The 13,378-nt window shown below is 39.4% G+C and overlaps 1 protein-coding gene across 4 annotated transcripts in view, besides 1 other annotated feature; it reads right to left on the minus strand.

Moving 5' to 3' along the window:
• The window catches only part of GRM5 (glutamate metabotropic receptor 5), a 561,341-nt gene that overhangs the window by 42,670 nt on the left and 505,293 nt on the right, over nt 1-13,378 (minus strand). The gene's annotated exons all lie outside the window — the stretch shown is intronic.
• Nucleotides 5,130-5,424: a silencer, noted in NCBI's record as "tiled region #7525; HepG2 Repressive DNase unmatched - State 12:CtcfO". NCBI's record gives its function as "represses a minimal TATA promoter and a strong SV40 promoter by Sharpr-MPRA in HepG2 cells {active_cell/tissue: HepG2}" and the evidence as "EXISTENCE:reporter gene assay evidence [ECO:0000049][PMID:27701403]".

Consider the following 13,378-nt stretch of genomic DNA (forward strand, 5'->3'; position numbering starts at 1 on the left):
AACCAGAACTCAAGGAAGACTAATACTCCAGAATTGAAAGTGTAATGATGGGATGGTTGAATTCTCCAAAGAAGAGAACAAAAGTAGACAGAACTCAAGGACCACAGATTGACCTTAGGGAATACCCTCAGTTAGGAGATGGGAGACTGCCTCAAGTAGCCCCAAACCTTATCTTTGTGCCTGCCGTTATCTCTTGCTGGAATGCCTTCCCTATATAAGCAACTCAAACACTCCCATTATTCTTGTACTCAAGGCTATCTCCTCTATGAGTTCCTTTAATAGATCACTTGAGAGTTGAAATTCTATACCTGATTCCATCTTTTCAGACTGACAGGCAAATATTTTTCAGCTAAAGAATAATGGAGGCTATAATAAGGCATAGTATGAAGAGCACAAGGAGTAGGCTGGCAGTCATGGGTTCACATCAGCTCAATAACAAGCTGGGCATACAGGCTCAAATTATTTCACCTGTCTGAGTCTCAGCTTTCACAAGTGTAAAAATTAGCATATTTTTATTTTACAAGGCTATTGTACAATGAAATAAGATATAATATGAAATAGCACACAGTACTTTGAAGGAACTTGATAAATATGTTTTCTTCTTTAACCAGCCACCAGATATATCTCTATGCCTACCAACTAATGGAAATATTTGATCTACAAAATGCCTTGTGGGAGGTGGGGAAGGGAAGGAGTTGGGACATAGAAGGTGAGACCAAAAATGTGTGTCCAGGTGATTGAGAAAAGGTAGAAAACTTATTTTAGCCAAAGGGCTAGAGAAAAGGATATTCCTATCTTTTTCTTGTTTAATTTCTTTCCTTGTTACCAAAGGAATGCTGCTTGGGAGAAGAGAGTTGTTAACTCACAGAATTATGCCTGAGGCATACTTTTCTCTCATATTAAGTGTTATGTTCTGAAGGAAATATGATTTGCATGCACCAGATACGGTGCAGCAAGACCACTTCTAAGCAGGACTAATGTAAATAAAAGGAACATTTCTTGAGACAGAATTTTGAAAATAAAACTGCTTAGTTTACCTTACCATTCAGAGAATTTATAACAATTAATCAAAAACATTTCAATCAAATTTAAGTAGTAACAAATGAGGCCACTAACATCACATGCAAATTAAAAAAATCCACTGTAATCACAGCACTTAAAAATATCAATTCATTATGCGAAGGGAGTGTTTTAGATGCAATTCATCAAAATCATCCAGACATAGTCTTTAATAGCTCCACAAATATACTTCAATTATTACGGAGCCAAACCATTTAATTAATCACTACAAAGCATTTCTTCCCTCAAAATAAAACACTTTAAAATATATCATTCATAACATTACAACCTGCCAGATCTAAATCTTCTTAGCATTTACCTTCTACATCTCCAGTGAGAGACATTAATATATTTAAAAAGTATATTACTAGGCACTAGTGGAGCACTTGGAAAGTTGACTTATTCTCTTGGAAAATGAACTACTATTGAGTGTTGATTCACATTAAGGGAGGAGCTAAGACTTCACCAGAGACTAGAGAAGTGAATCTTTGCTGGTCACCCAGCACATATTTATCAGATAACTTGCTAAAAACAAGCACCAAATTAGTTGCTGAGGGTGGAGGCAAAGAAAGCAATGCCTGCAAGAAATTTACAGTCAAGCACAGGGGAAAAACATGCAAATCAATGGTACAATATAACCTGATGAGTTTTATAGGAGATCTAGAGAATCTAATGGAAATAACAGTTGATAAAATAAGTGAAACACTTGGGTTAGGAATTGGAGAGTAAGAAGGCATTTTCTAGGTAATAGAAAGGGAGATAAATTCAGGCATTAGTAGAGGCAGGAAGAATACCAAAGAAATGGCCAGGAGGCCTGGCACAGTTGCTCATGCCTGTAATCCCAGCAATTTGGGAGACCAGGGAGGGTGGATTTCTTGAGCTCAGGGGTTCAAGACCAAGTGGGGGCAACATGGTAATACCTGGTCTCTACAAAAAATACAAAAATTAGCCAGGTGTGGTGGCATGCACCTGTGGTTCCATTTACTTGGGAGGATCACTTTAGCCCAGGCCATGGACGTTGCTTATGCCACTGCACTCCAGCCTGGGTGACAGAGCCACACCTTGTCTCAAAGAAAAAAAAAAAAAACCCAAACAAAACGAAACAAACCAAACCCCAACCCCCCAGAGAACAAACAACAACAACAAAAGAAATGTCCAAGGATTGTTGAAATTGGGAACTATATGCAGTTTGGCACCGTGTTATAGTATGTGTTTGGAGGCTATATAGTATGGTATACATTTTATATAGCCATACTATATGGCTATATAGTATGTGTTTGGAGGTATAGTATGGCACTGGTGGTGGGGGCTCTAGGGGCTTGATGTAGCAGACTGGTGGCTGGATCCAAGGTTGGGAAGGCCAAGTCATCAAGGGCCAGGTCACTAAGGCTCTGTGAGCCATGTGAAAGAGTTTTAGATTTTTATATTCTAAGGCATGTATACCCGCTGAACTCAATTTGAGTATTGAATAATGTGATTACATTTTCACTTTAGGAAGATTACGCTGGTAGCTGCTGGGACAGGGTGGTGGATCAACAAGAGAGATTTAGAAAATTATGTCAGCAGTTCAGACAATAGGTTATGAAGACCTCATCCATGAAGATATCAGTGAAAATGCAAAAGATAAGGTAAAATTAGTAGGAGAAATGACTGGTTGGATGTGAAGGGTCAGAGCAAGTAAAATGTTAAGGATGACACAGGTTTGGGCAATTAGTTGAAGTTACAGCTTTTATCCAGAGAAGAAATAGAAGAAGAAGAAGAAACTTCAATCAAGGTCTGGAGAAGTGATGATAAAATCATCACTTAATTTCTTGGTCAAAATAGTATTTTCTTCTAATGATCTGATTTAAATATTAAAATTATCCAGATTGTCAAGTACACTTAATTCTAAAAATTGACTTAAGTATTTCTACTAGGTAGGTGCTTAAGAAATAGCTGATGAAATTGAACTGTACCTGACCACTTTCTAAAATACATGTTCCACAACAACTTTAGAAGTAGTTTTCATTTGAAGAAAGGAAATAAAAATAAAACTGATAAAATGAAACCGTGTACTTCATCTGAATCTGTCTTTAGGACACACATCCAACTCCGTGTACCAATTTAGTTCAAGTCAGCCCTGCTTGCATTATGCAGACATTTCAGCTAAGAAACTTAAATGTGCTTCTTGTGTACATTTGCTTTCATGACCAAACCATATTGTCTTCAGACGTTGACTGGATTATAATACAGATGAGTACTTCAGACAGTGGCTTTATATCTTCTGAAAGAGAAACTGATAAGGGAGTGGGGGGGATAAAAAAAGAAAACAGGGAAATGGACAGTCATTTATTCAGTTTATCAAGAGGCTTAAATAGGAAGATTCCTAACTGAAATCAAGTTGTAATGATGATAATTTCCCAAATGTCTTTCTCAATACTGACATTTCATTGATTCCTACAAATTCTTTACCAGTCTTTCAAATACAATCTTAGTGTTTATAATTTCTGGTAGCTAAGCTAATGGACTCTAGAGACAAACTGCTTAGATTTGAATTTAAAGTCCAATCCTTTCCAGCTGTTTGTCCTTGGGCAATTTATTTAACCTCACATGTCTCAACTTCCTTACTTATAAAATGGGGATACTAATGTTACCTGTCTCATGGGGTTGTTTTAATGGTTCAGTGAATATCTATGTGGTATTGACAGTAGTACCTGCTACTGTCAGTCTCAATTTCACATGTCTCAATTTCCTTATTTATAAAATGGGAATAGTAATGTTACCTGTCTCATGGGGTTGTTTTAGTGGTTCAGTGAATGTCTATGTGGTACTGACAGTAGTACCTGCTACATCATAAATGCTCATTGAAGTTAGTTATCATTAGCCCCTATCATCCCCTTTCCACATCCTACACTCCACTTTCCCTTCTGTGGGTTCTGCCTATTTAGACTTCAGCTGGAGTGTCCAAGAACTTGACTTTAAATCCTGTGATAGTTGCAAAAACAGTCTGACTTCATTCTTGGTCTCTTTTCTCATCTACCTCCCACCAGCAGACCTCAACCTCTTCATACTTGCATTGAGCACTTACTTAGGTATAAAATGTTGCAGACTCTGACATATTAATTTTCCCTGATAGTAAAAGGCTACGTGCCCCTTCACAATTCTTTTTTCCCCCTCCAGAAATGGGATGAGTAAGCATGTGACAAGGCAGATTCGATTCTTATTCACAAGGTCAAGCTTTAGAGAAATTGATACATTTTAGTAGATTTTAGAGCTAAAATTCTTAACCTCAACAGTTGAATTCAAACCTTAGTTTAGCCGCTCACTGCCTTGGGCAAGCTTCTTTCCCTCTCCACACTTCAGTGTCCTCATCAGTATAGGGGTCTAATAAACTTTTCTTACAGGGTTATTGTAAGAAGTGAATTAGATTAAACAGAGAGTACACATGGGCACATGGTACATCACCAATCAATGGAAGATCATGGTAGTTTGACTCTGAAGAATTAACACTGGAAGCAGAACTCATTGAATTGTAAAGGTATTTTCACTGTCAAAAGTGACTGGTAGGAAGATATTTAGGCAAGCCTTCTTCTATGGTGTGTGAGGTGTATGTTTTTAAAATCTAGCATCAACATTCTAGGAAACAGCTACAGCTCATTTTTTCCAACTTTTAAATGTCACATCTTTTTTTTTTTTTGAGTCAGGATCTTTGTTGCCCAGGCTGGAGTGCAGTGGCATGACCATAGCTCACTGTTGCCTCAAACTCCTGGGCTCAAGTGATTCTCCCACCTCAGCCTCCTGAGTAACTGGTATGATAGCTGTCTGTCACCACATCTAGCTATTTTGTTTAATTTTTTTGTAGCGATGGGGTCTTGCTATGTCATCCAGGCTGGTCTTGAACTCCTGGCCTCAAGTGATTCTTTCCCACTGGCCTCCCAACATTCTAGGATTATAAGCATAAGCCATCGTGGCTGGACTGTTATATCATTTTTATGGTTATGGAAATGTGATATCAATGATAATCAGCAAACCAAGAGATGAAATTTAGAAATTTGTATTAGGAATCTTCTTCAGCTGGTCCATCTGGGAATCAGCACCTCTACTCTTACCACTGCTTCTGCAAAAGTTTGTCTCTGCTGCTTACATTGAGCTCTCTGTGCAAACCCACAGTGGTAGTCTTTGATTATTGCTACACAAGCTGAGTGCATCTTGGGCAGAAAGGCTTTCTCACTGGAGTTGCCCAAAGAACTTCGCCTGCCACCTACTGGCCAGGAAAGGGACCTGGTCGACTGACTGCTGGGGACCAGGTTAGGGGTTGAGGGGAGAAGAAAAGGAGGAGGAAAAACAGTCCATAGACTGTTGACACACAAGGTCTGATTCTTCTCTAGCATTACTGAGGATGGTCAGAAATGCCCCAGAGTTTAAAAGCTGTCTGCTCCTCTCAGCCCATAACTCGTAGTCTGTCTGGCACTATTCTCCCTGGAGATACAGTCACAGAGCAGTGTCTGTACAGTGAATGCAATTAAACAAAAGCCTCTAAAAATTTCCAAGGGGAAATTAGATAACATGTGCTTTGATGTAGGGATTTGGAGTTTGAAGGTGAAAAAGACAGCCAAGACATCAGAAGTCTGCAACTGCTTAGCTCCAGTTCATCACATTAGCATTCTGCTAACATGTCTTTTTTTGTTGTTTTTTAAAGTTTTTCACTAAAGTCAATTTGCTCAGTTTTTCTCAAGTACCATCGGACATTTTAAACATTCTTTAGATTAAGACAAGTCCTGAAGTTGGACTTCTGTTGTGAGTGAATGATGAAATCAATTTTTCTTGTGTTTTTATTAGTTAATCAATCAAAGGGAAAAGTGCTTGCTAGTCCATTTGGGCTAGAACATTTGGTTCTCATTTTGCTATGCTGGCAGGCCGTAGCTCTGTGCATGGATGAGAAAAGTCTACTTTTGTCCTGGTCCATTCTCCAGCAATAAGCCGTACACTCAGCTGTATCCAGTGGCTAGATAGTTCCTGAGAGATGTGTCCACAGTTCACTCAGAGTTCCTGTTCCCCCTCATTTTCCTCTGATGTTCCTTCTGTGCCTTTTCTGCATTGTCATAATGTGTCTGCCTGAGTCAGAGCACAATGTCTGGTGTGCCTGACTCTCACTAATGGGCCAAGTGTGGTCCTGCTCTCTTTAGCTTCTAATCAAGACTCCAGTGGGATCCAGAGTAAAAGTGAACAGGCCACAGCATAGGGGAAAATTAAGATGGATGGTATAGCACAGCAGGAGCTTGTTTATCCCTGAGGAATATAAGTAGGGGGAATTGGTAGAACTTGCTCTCATTTTCACACCTTGTATTACCACGACAGTGATTTACTGAGTATCTACTCAGAGCCAACCTAGGGATGAATATATTCTTGTCCTCAATGATCTCTGGTAGAACATGCATGTTGGGGGGAAAAATACAGTGACTTTCTGTGTGATACGTATGACCAAAGTAAAACCTTGTAAGATGTCATAAAACCTCACAGGAGTTTTGGGTAGGGAAGACCAAAATCTCCTCTCCTTTTGCCTAATCCAAGATAGTCTACCTTTTAAGGAGTGTTGTGGTTAGGAAAGGATCATTCATCTGGGATCCAGATCTTATGAAGGGTGTATTAGTTTTCTATTGCTGCTTTAAAAGTTGACCACAAATTTAGTGGCTTTAAAGCAAAAGAAATTTAATATCTTACAGTTCTGGAGATCAGAAGGCTGAAATGGCTTCCACTGAGTTAAAATCATGGTGTCAGTAGGGCTACATTCCTTTCTGGAGGCTGTAGGGGACAATCCATTTCCTTGTATTTTTCGGCTTCTAGAGGCTGCTTGCATTCCTTGGCTTCTATACCCTTCCTCCACATTCAAAGCCAGCAGAATAGCACTTTCAAATGTCTCTCCGACTCTGGCACCCCGCTTCCCTCTTGTAATATCTTTGTGATCACATTGGGCCCACTGGATAATCCAGGATCATCTTTCCTTAACATAATTGCACCTGCAAGTCCCTTTTGCCATGTAAGATAACATAGTCACAGGTTCCAGGGAATAGCATGTGACCATGTTTGGGGGCCATCATCTGGCTACTAAAGAGGACTTCCAGGTTGATATTATTCTATCCTATTACTTCCCTTGTTTTATTCATGCTATTGAAGATGTAATAAGATTTTTTTGTTTAATTTAGCTTTTGTTTTTACAGCAATTCTACATGATGATGCTGAGATACTAGCCAACTTATATCCCAAGTTCTTTTCTAATTCCCTGTTAATTAACTATGTTCCTGCATCTGGCACTGATGCAGTTGTTTGTTTGGACCTGAATGTAGGGGAAGGGCAAATAATCTTTTGGATTGGACATTGGCTCCTAGTGAGGTGAAAAAGTGTTCCCCTCAACCAGAAGTGGAGAAGGTGGATGAAGACTTTTCACATAATCTCTGAGACTGCTATGGAATTTACCAGATGGGCAGAGTGGAGAGTATGCTTAATAACCAATAGCAAGCCTCTTATAATGGCAGTGTTATTATCTTACCCTCAGGTGGGCCAGCAATGTCCTAGAGTTTAATGAATCTGCAAAACAAAAGTTTGAATATGGAGCAAACAGGAAGGAGGGAACAATTACCCACTTGACATATCCTCTTGAAAGCTTACCAGTCATGGTACTGTGGAAAGAACATGCTGTTTGGACTCAGACAACCTTGGATGTCAGGACCATTTGTGTCCCTTACCAGCTATGTAATCTTAGATCACTTAACCTCCCTCAGCTTCAAGTTTCTCACTTTTAAAACAGAGTTAATAATATCTGACTCATATCACTGGTGTGAGCTTAGAATATGTAAGTCCATTGTTCTCAAAGTGAATCTATGTTGTGATTCCTAACCCAGGAATGTCATCATTACTTGGAAGTTCCTTAGCAAAGCAATCTCTCTGGCCCTACTCCAGACAAACTGAATCAGAAACTCTGGGTTGGGAAGTCTTACCCCATAAAATAGTAGTACGCAAAACACATGGAAAAGAGTCTCACGCGACTGGACTGGGACTTACTTAACAAATGCTGATTGTAATTATTCTTTTCACTGGGAGCCTCATTATATTCACCATGCTTTTTGCTTTTCAGTTACTGTTTGTTTTGGAAGAACATGGCCAATGACAGATTTATGTTTGTTTACCAAGTTGTGGTCTCTCTTTTTTCTCAAACTAAAAAGTCACATAAATAAATGAAAGAAACAGCATTATTAGTTTGTATTTCTGGCTGTGCCGTTTTAACTCAGCAGAGGGGGAGTCACGCACTCTGGCAACTTCTTTATCCAGAATGTGCTGTCGTGATGCCACAGAGCAAGGCTAGGCACAAAGCTTATGCACCTGAGAGATGCTGTGACTATTTTCTTCAGTTGCTTTTTTAAATTTTTTGACTAAATATACATGAAAAACATAAGCGCACACATACCTCACCAAATACAGCTTCATATTATATGATGCATAAAATTTATTGCAGTGATTTATCATTTAGTTTCTATGTAATTAAGTAAAGATGGATCCACATGTTCTGGGCCAAGTTAAAACTCATATTTTTTATGAAGAATCATAAATGCACTGCCAAACCACAACAGGAATGAGGGAAATGGCTAAAACTCACAAACCGCCTTTAAACCCTGAGGAAAGTTTGACTTCTAGAAAAGCAGTTAAGCAGAAACTTATTAACTTGCCACCGAAGGATGTAATGAAAATTTGGAGGGCCATGGATCCCCAGGATAGAGCAATGATTTCCTAGTAGTTCAGGCAGGATTCCTGAAGTCAAATATTTCCATGTCAGTAGCATTCTAAAGAGTAAAGTCATGTAACCTACTCAGATTGTCACCAGGACTGTCTATTAGGTGGGGTCATGAGATGACCCCAGGATTAGTGAAAAGAAAACTCACATTTCATGGATATGAACTGTGGGACACATTCTTTTCTTTTCTTTTTTTTTTTTTTTTTAGATGGAGTCTTGCTCTGTCACCTAGGCTGGAGTGCAATGGCGCAATCTTGGCTCACTGCAATCTCCACCTTCTGGGTTTAAGCAATTCTCCTGCCTCAGTCTCCCAAGTAGCTGGGATTACAGGTGCCCACCATCATGCCCCGCTAATTTTTATATTTTTGGTAGAGACAGGGTTTCACCATGTTGGTCAGGCTGGTCTTAAACTCCTGACCTCATGATCCGCCTGCCTTAGCCTCCCAAAGTTCTGGGATTACAGGCATGAGCCACCATGCATGGCCCTGTGGGATACATCCTGTATTATGTTCACAGTGGACCTTTGAGCACAATACAGAGTGAAATGAATATTTTTGTCCTTATTTTCTAGAGGCTCTGAGAATTTAAGTGCTTAGTCTAGGGTCCTGGCTTATAAATGTCAAAGTCAGGATTAGAATGCATGTCTTCGCTGACAAGGCTCACTTCCCTATACCACACTACTTCTGTCAAATTATGACATGAGAGACACCGACGGCTACCTTGTTCCATCAGGGTCACTTGGACTGATTTGCCTATATACCAAAAAAAGAAAAAAAATGTTGCATTTAGGGTTATTTCTCTGGGACTAAAAATCTGTGTCAAAATATGTGGCAGAAATACATTCATCATGACCTTATTTATCAACAGTAACAAGAACAAAATGAGATACATGCTTGAGAAAATAAATCCACCAGTAAAGCAATGTTGGAATGAAAAAGAGCTTTGAAGATACATAGACCTGCGTTTGAATCCTAAATTTTGGTTCTACCACCTATTAGTTCACTAACTAAAGGCTATTAGGCCTCTATGTGCTTCCGTTACTAATTTTTCTTTATATGTGGATAGGCGATGATAGTTTCTATTTTAAAATACTATGTGAAGATCCAATGAGATAACAGATAAAAGTACTTAGCACAGTATCTGTCATAAAGTAGTTGCTCATTAAGTGTTTACTGCATAAAGGATGAAGCAAGCCATTATTAATCCTTATCATCATAGCACAGATTAATTTATCTCTTCTCTAGCAGAGAGGAGGGGAAGTTTTGATTGCATATGGTGTGTGGAGGCATCAGGCTGATGCTGGGGAGGTAGCCATGAGTATTATGGAATTGGATGTCTAAAGTGGGTGTTAAGAAGGGAAAAGAGGCAACTGAAAGGAAATTGGGAAAGCTGGAAGGTGGTTGGCTGATGGCTCCTTGAGGCTAAGCTTATAAGGAAACAATAGAGGATCCTCCTCTGCCCCTTCCCTGTCAGCTTCATCTCCTGTTACCTGCTGACACACATTTTACATGCTTGTGATTCCCTGCACACACCATGTTGTTTCATACTTCTGGGCTGTTGCTCCTGTTGTTTCCCAGTATGGTGTATTCCACGGTTTTCACGTGGCTTAATCATCCTTTTTTTTTTTTTTTTAATACTTTAAGTTCTGGGGTACATGTGCAGAACATGTAGGTTTGTTACATAGGTATACACGTGCCATGGTGGTTTGCTTCACCCCTCAACCCATCACCTACATTAGGTATTTCTCCTAATGCTATCCCTTTGAGATTCAACTCAAGTGTCACCTTTCCTGAAACCTTCAAATTGGACTTAGTTTATTCTTCAGTGACTTCTGATTTCTCTGTGCATTTTTCTCTCTCATCACTTCATACTCTAAAACATTGCTTTGTGTATGAATTGATCTCCCCCACTACTCTGTGAGCTTTTCCAAAGGGCAGGCTTTGTGTCTTGTTTATCTTTATTCTCCCAGAACTCAGCAATGTACCCAGTATATAATGATTATTCTAAAAACTCTGGTTGAATTACACTGGACTGAACCAAGGTGGGAAGCATAAGGATCCTTTGCCTATTTCATTTCACTTCAGATTAGGCACTCTCTCCAAAGAAAAGTAACTATATCAGGGTTTGTGACTCAGCTCTTGGCGATTTATGGCCAGGTGAGTTTGTAAATACAGCCCCACATTCGAAACAACAATCCCAGCTTGTTGTTCTCACTGCTTTTGGGAGCTGTCATTCCAGTCAGTGTTTCTGCAGTTCCTCATTAATTGTTATTATCCAAAGTAAGCACCTGTTGAATGCCATTGTGCTAAGGGATAGGTGGGATTTGGAAAAGGGTTGCAATTTCTGCTGTTGAGATTTCACAGGCTGCACTCCTGTAATTTTGTTCTAAGGGGAGAGAGTGGGAAAGGGTTAGATGACTTGAAACATTGACCTGCTGGCAGGTGGATCATGAGGTCAAGAGATCGAGACCATCCTGGACAACATGGTGAAACCCCATCTCTTCTAAAAATCCAAAAATTAGCTGGGTGTGGTGGTGCGCGCTTATAGTCCCACAACTTGGGAGGCTGAGGCAGGAGAATCGCTTGAAACTGAGAGGTGGAGGTTGCAGTGAGCCCAGATCATACCTCTGCACTACAGCCTGGCAACAGAGTGAGACTCCATCTCAAAAAAAAAAAAAAAAAAAAAAAAAATACAACAAACAACACAAACACAAAACAGCATAATTCTCAAAGTATATTTATAAAGTTCTATTTTTTTAAGTTTGTGGGACTTCTTGGAGGGAAAAATTAGTAAATAGAAGCAGAGTAAAAATGTGGTTTATAAAGAGCTCATAATAAAAGTTTATAATAAAAACTTTGTAACTAAAAATATTATACCAAAAAGTAGTGTAAGTCTTCTCAATTCCTGTAAAAATATTATACATAATAAAAATAAGTCAGTCAGATTTTATTCTCATAAAGAAAATCTATACAAATATTTGAAAATCACCACCAAATTTCAGGCAGTTCTTAAGGTTTAAATTTTATCTCAGAAGCTTTTGTGTACTCTATTCACAATCAAATTTGGTTCATTCAGGATATGATGGAATCAGAAGTGTGCAGTGCAATAAAGATGCAGGGAGCAGTTTTCAAGGAAATTCCTTGGCGGGGAGTTCTACTCCTCACTCATTAATCTCAGTTTTTCCTCAGTTAGGGCTGCCATGTTTGTCATAAGGGCTGGAATAAGGAACACAGCTTAAAGGTTACCTGAGTGGGCTATGAAGCTAGCTTCCTTTTATTCTAATCCTTCCTCTTCTACTTACTATCTGAATGGGGAAGTCAATTAGCTTCTGTTTGCCTCAGTTTCCTCATGTGTACAATAAATGAGCTAATAATGCCTACCCCATAGATTGTTGTGGATATAAAAAGATTCATTACATTTAAGGGGTTTAGAGCAGTGCCTGGCCCATAGCAAGTGCTCAATAACTATTACTCCCTAGCTTCAGCCTTTTCTTGTTCACTGGCAAATGCCAGTGCAGCTCAGACATTAGTTATTTATCCATGTATTCATTTAACAAACATTTTTGAGTATTGAGTATGTGATTGGCACTGTGCACGGTGCAAATGATACAGAAAATGAGTAAGCTCCTCTCTTTAATAAGTTCATGGTATAGTGTGTGTCTGTGGCGAGTCTAGAGATGATGGTGCAAAAGAGTCTTTCAATTAAACAGACAATTCTAACGTGGGATGATAAATGCTCTGTAGTGAGAAGCACATGGCTCATTTGGATCATAAGGAGGGGAACTTAATGCAGTCTCAGAGGGCCAGGAGAGGCTTTCCAGCAGAATTGGTATCTAAGATGAGTATGAGTTGGCCAAGTGAGAGTTGAGGGTGAGATGGGGTAGGTGTATTTCATACCAAAGTAGCTGCCTCTCTAGAGGCCATAGAGCAAGGAAATTGTATAAGGATCAGTGTGGAAAGTCAGGCAGGGGGTGGCCAGAAGCAAGGCTAGCTAAGGGTGAAGGAGTCAGATTAGCAAGGGCCTTTCCTATTATGCAAAAGAACTTTATGGCTCTATCCTGTCCTACTGGGCGGAGAAGCCCTGAAGGCTTCTAAACAGGGTTTAAAACACTTAGATAGTTTTTCTTGTTTGAATGAGTATCTTTTAAACATTATTTCTAATTTCGGGCAGAATTTACTACTTCTACCTTTGGGTCCTTCTGTTTCTCTATAGGCTCCTATCATGGCACTGTATTGCTTTATTGAACTTAACTGTTTCTAATCCTGCCTTTCCTGGGAGACTGAGGGCTTCCCAAAGATTGTTTTTTATCTATCTCTGTATCCCTAGGATCTGGAACAGTTACTGATGCTGCTGAGTAGGCATTCAATGGAAGCTTGATTTTAAAAAGAAAAGTTGATTTTAGAAAGAAAGCATTTTTTTTCTTATATTTTTAGGACAAAGCATTATCAGATAAAATCTGGCCCATCAAGTCAGCAAAGTGAGTAATCTTGTTCACTCTGAAGGCAGTGTGAGCTCCATGAGGTGCTGCCCAACAGATCTCTAATCCACCTGTCC

This window comes from Homo sapiens, chromosome 11, assembly GCF_000001405.40.
Source record: "Homo sapiens chromosome 11, GRCh38.p14 Primary Assembly".
Classification (NCBI taxonomy): Eukaryota; Metazoa; Chordata; class Mammalia; order Primates; family Hominidae; genus Homo; species Homo sapiens.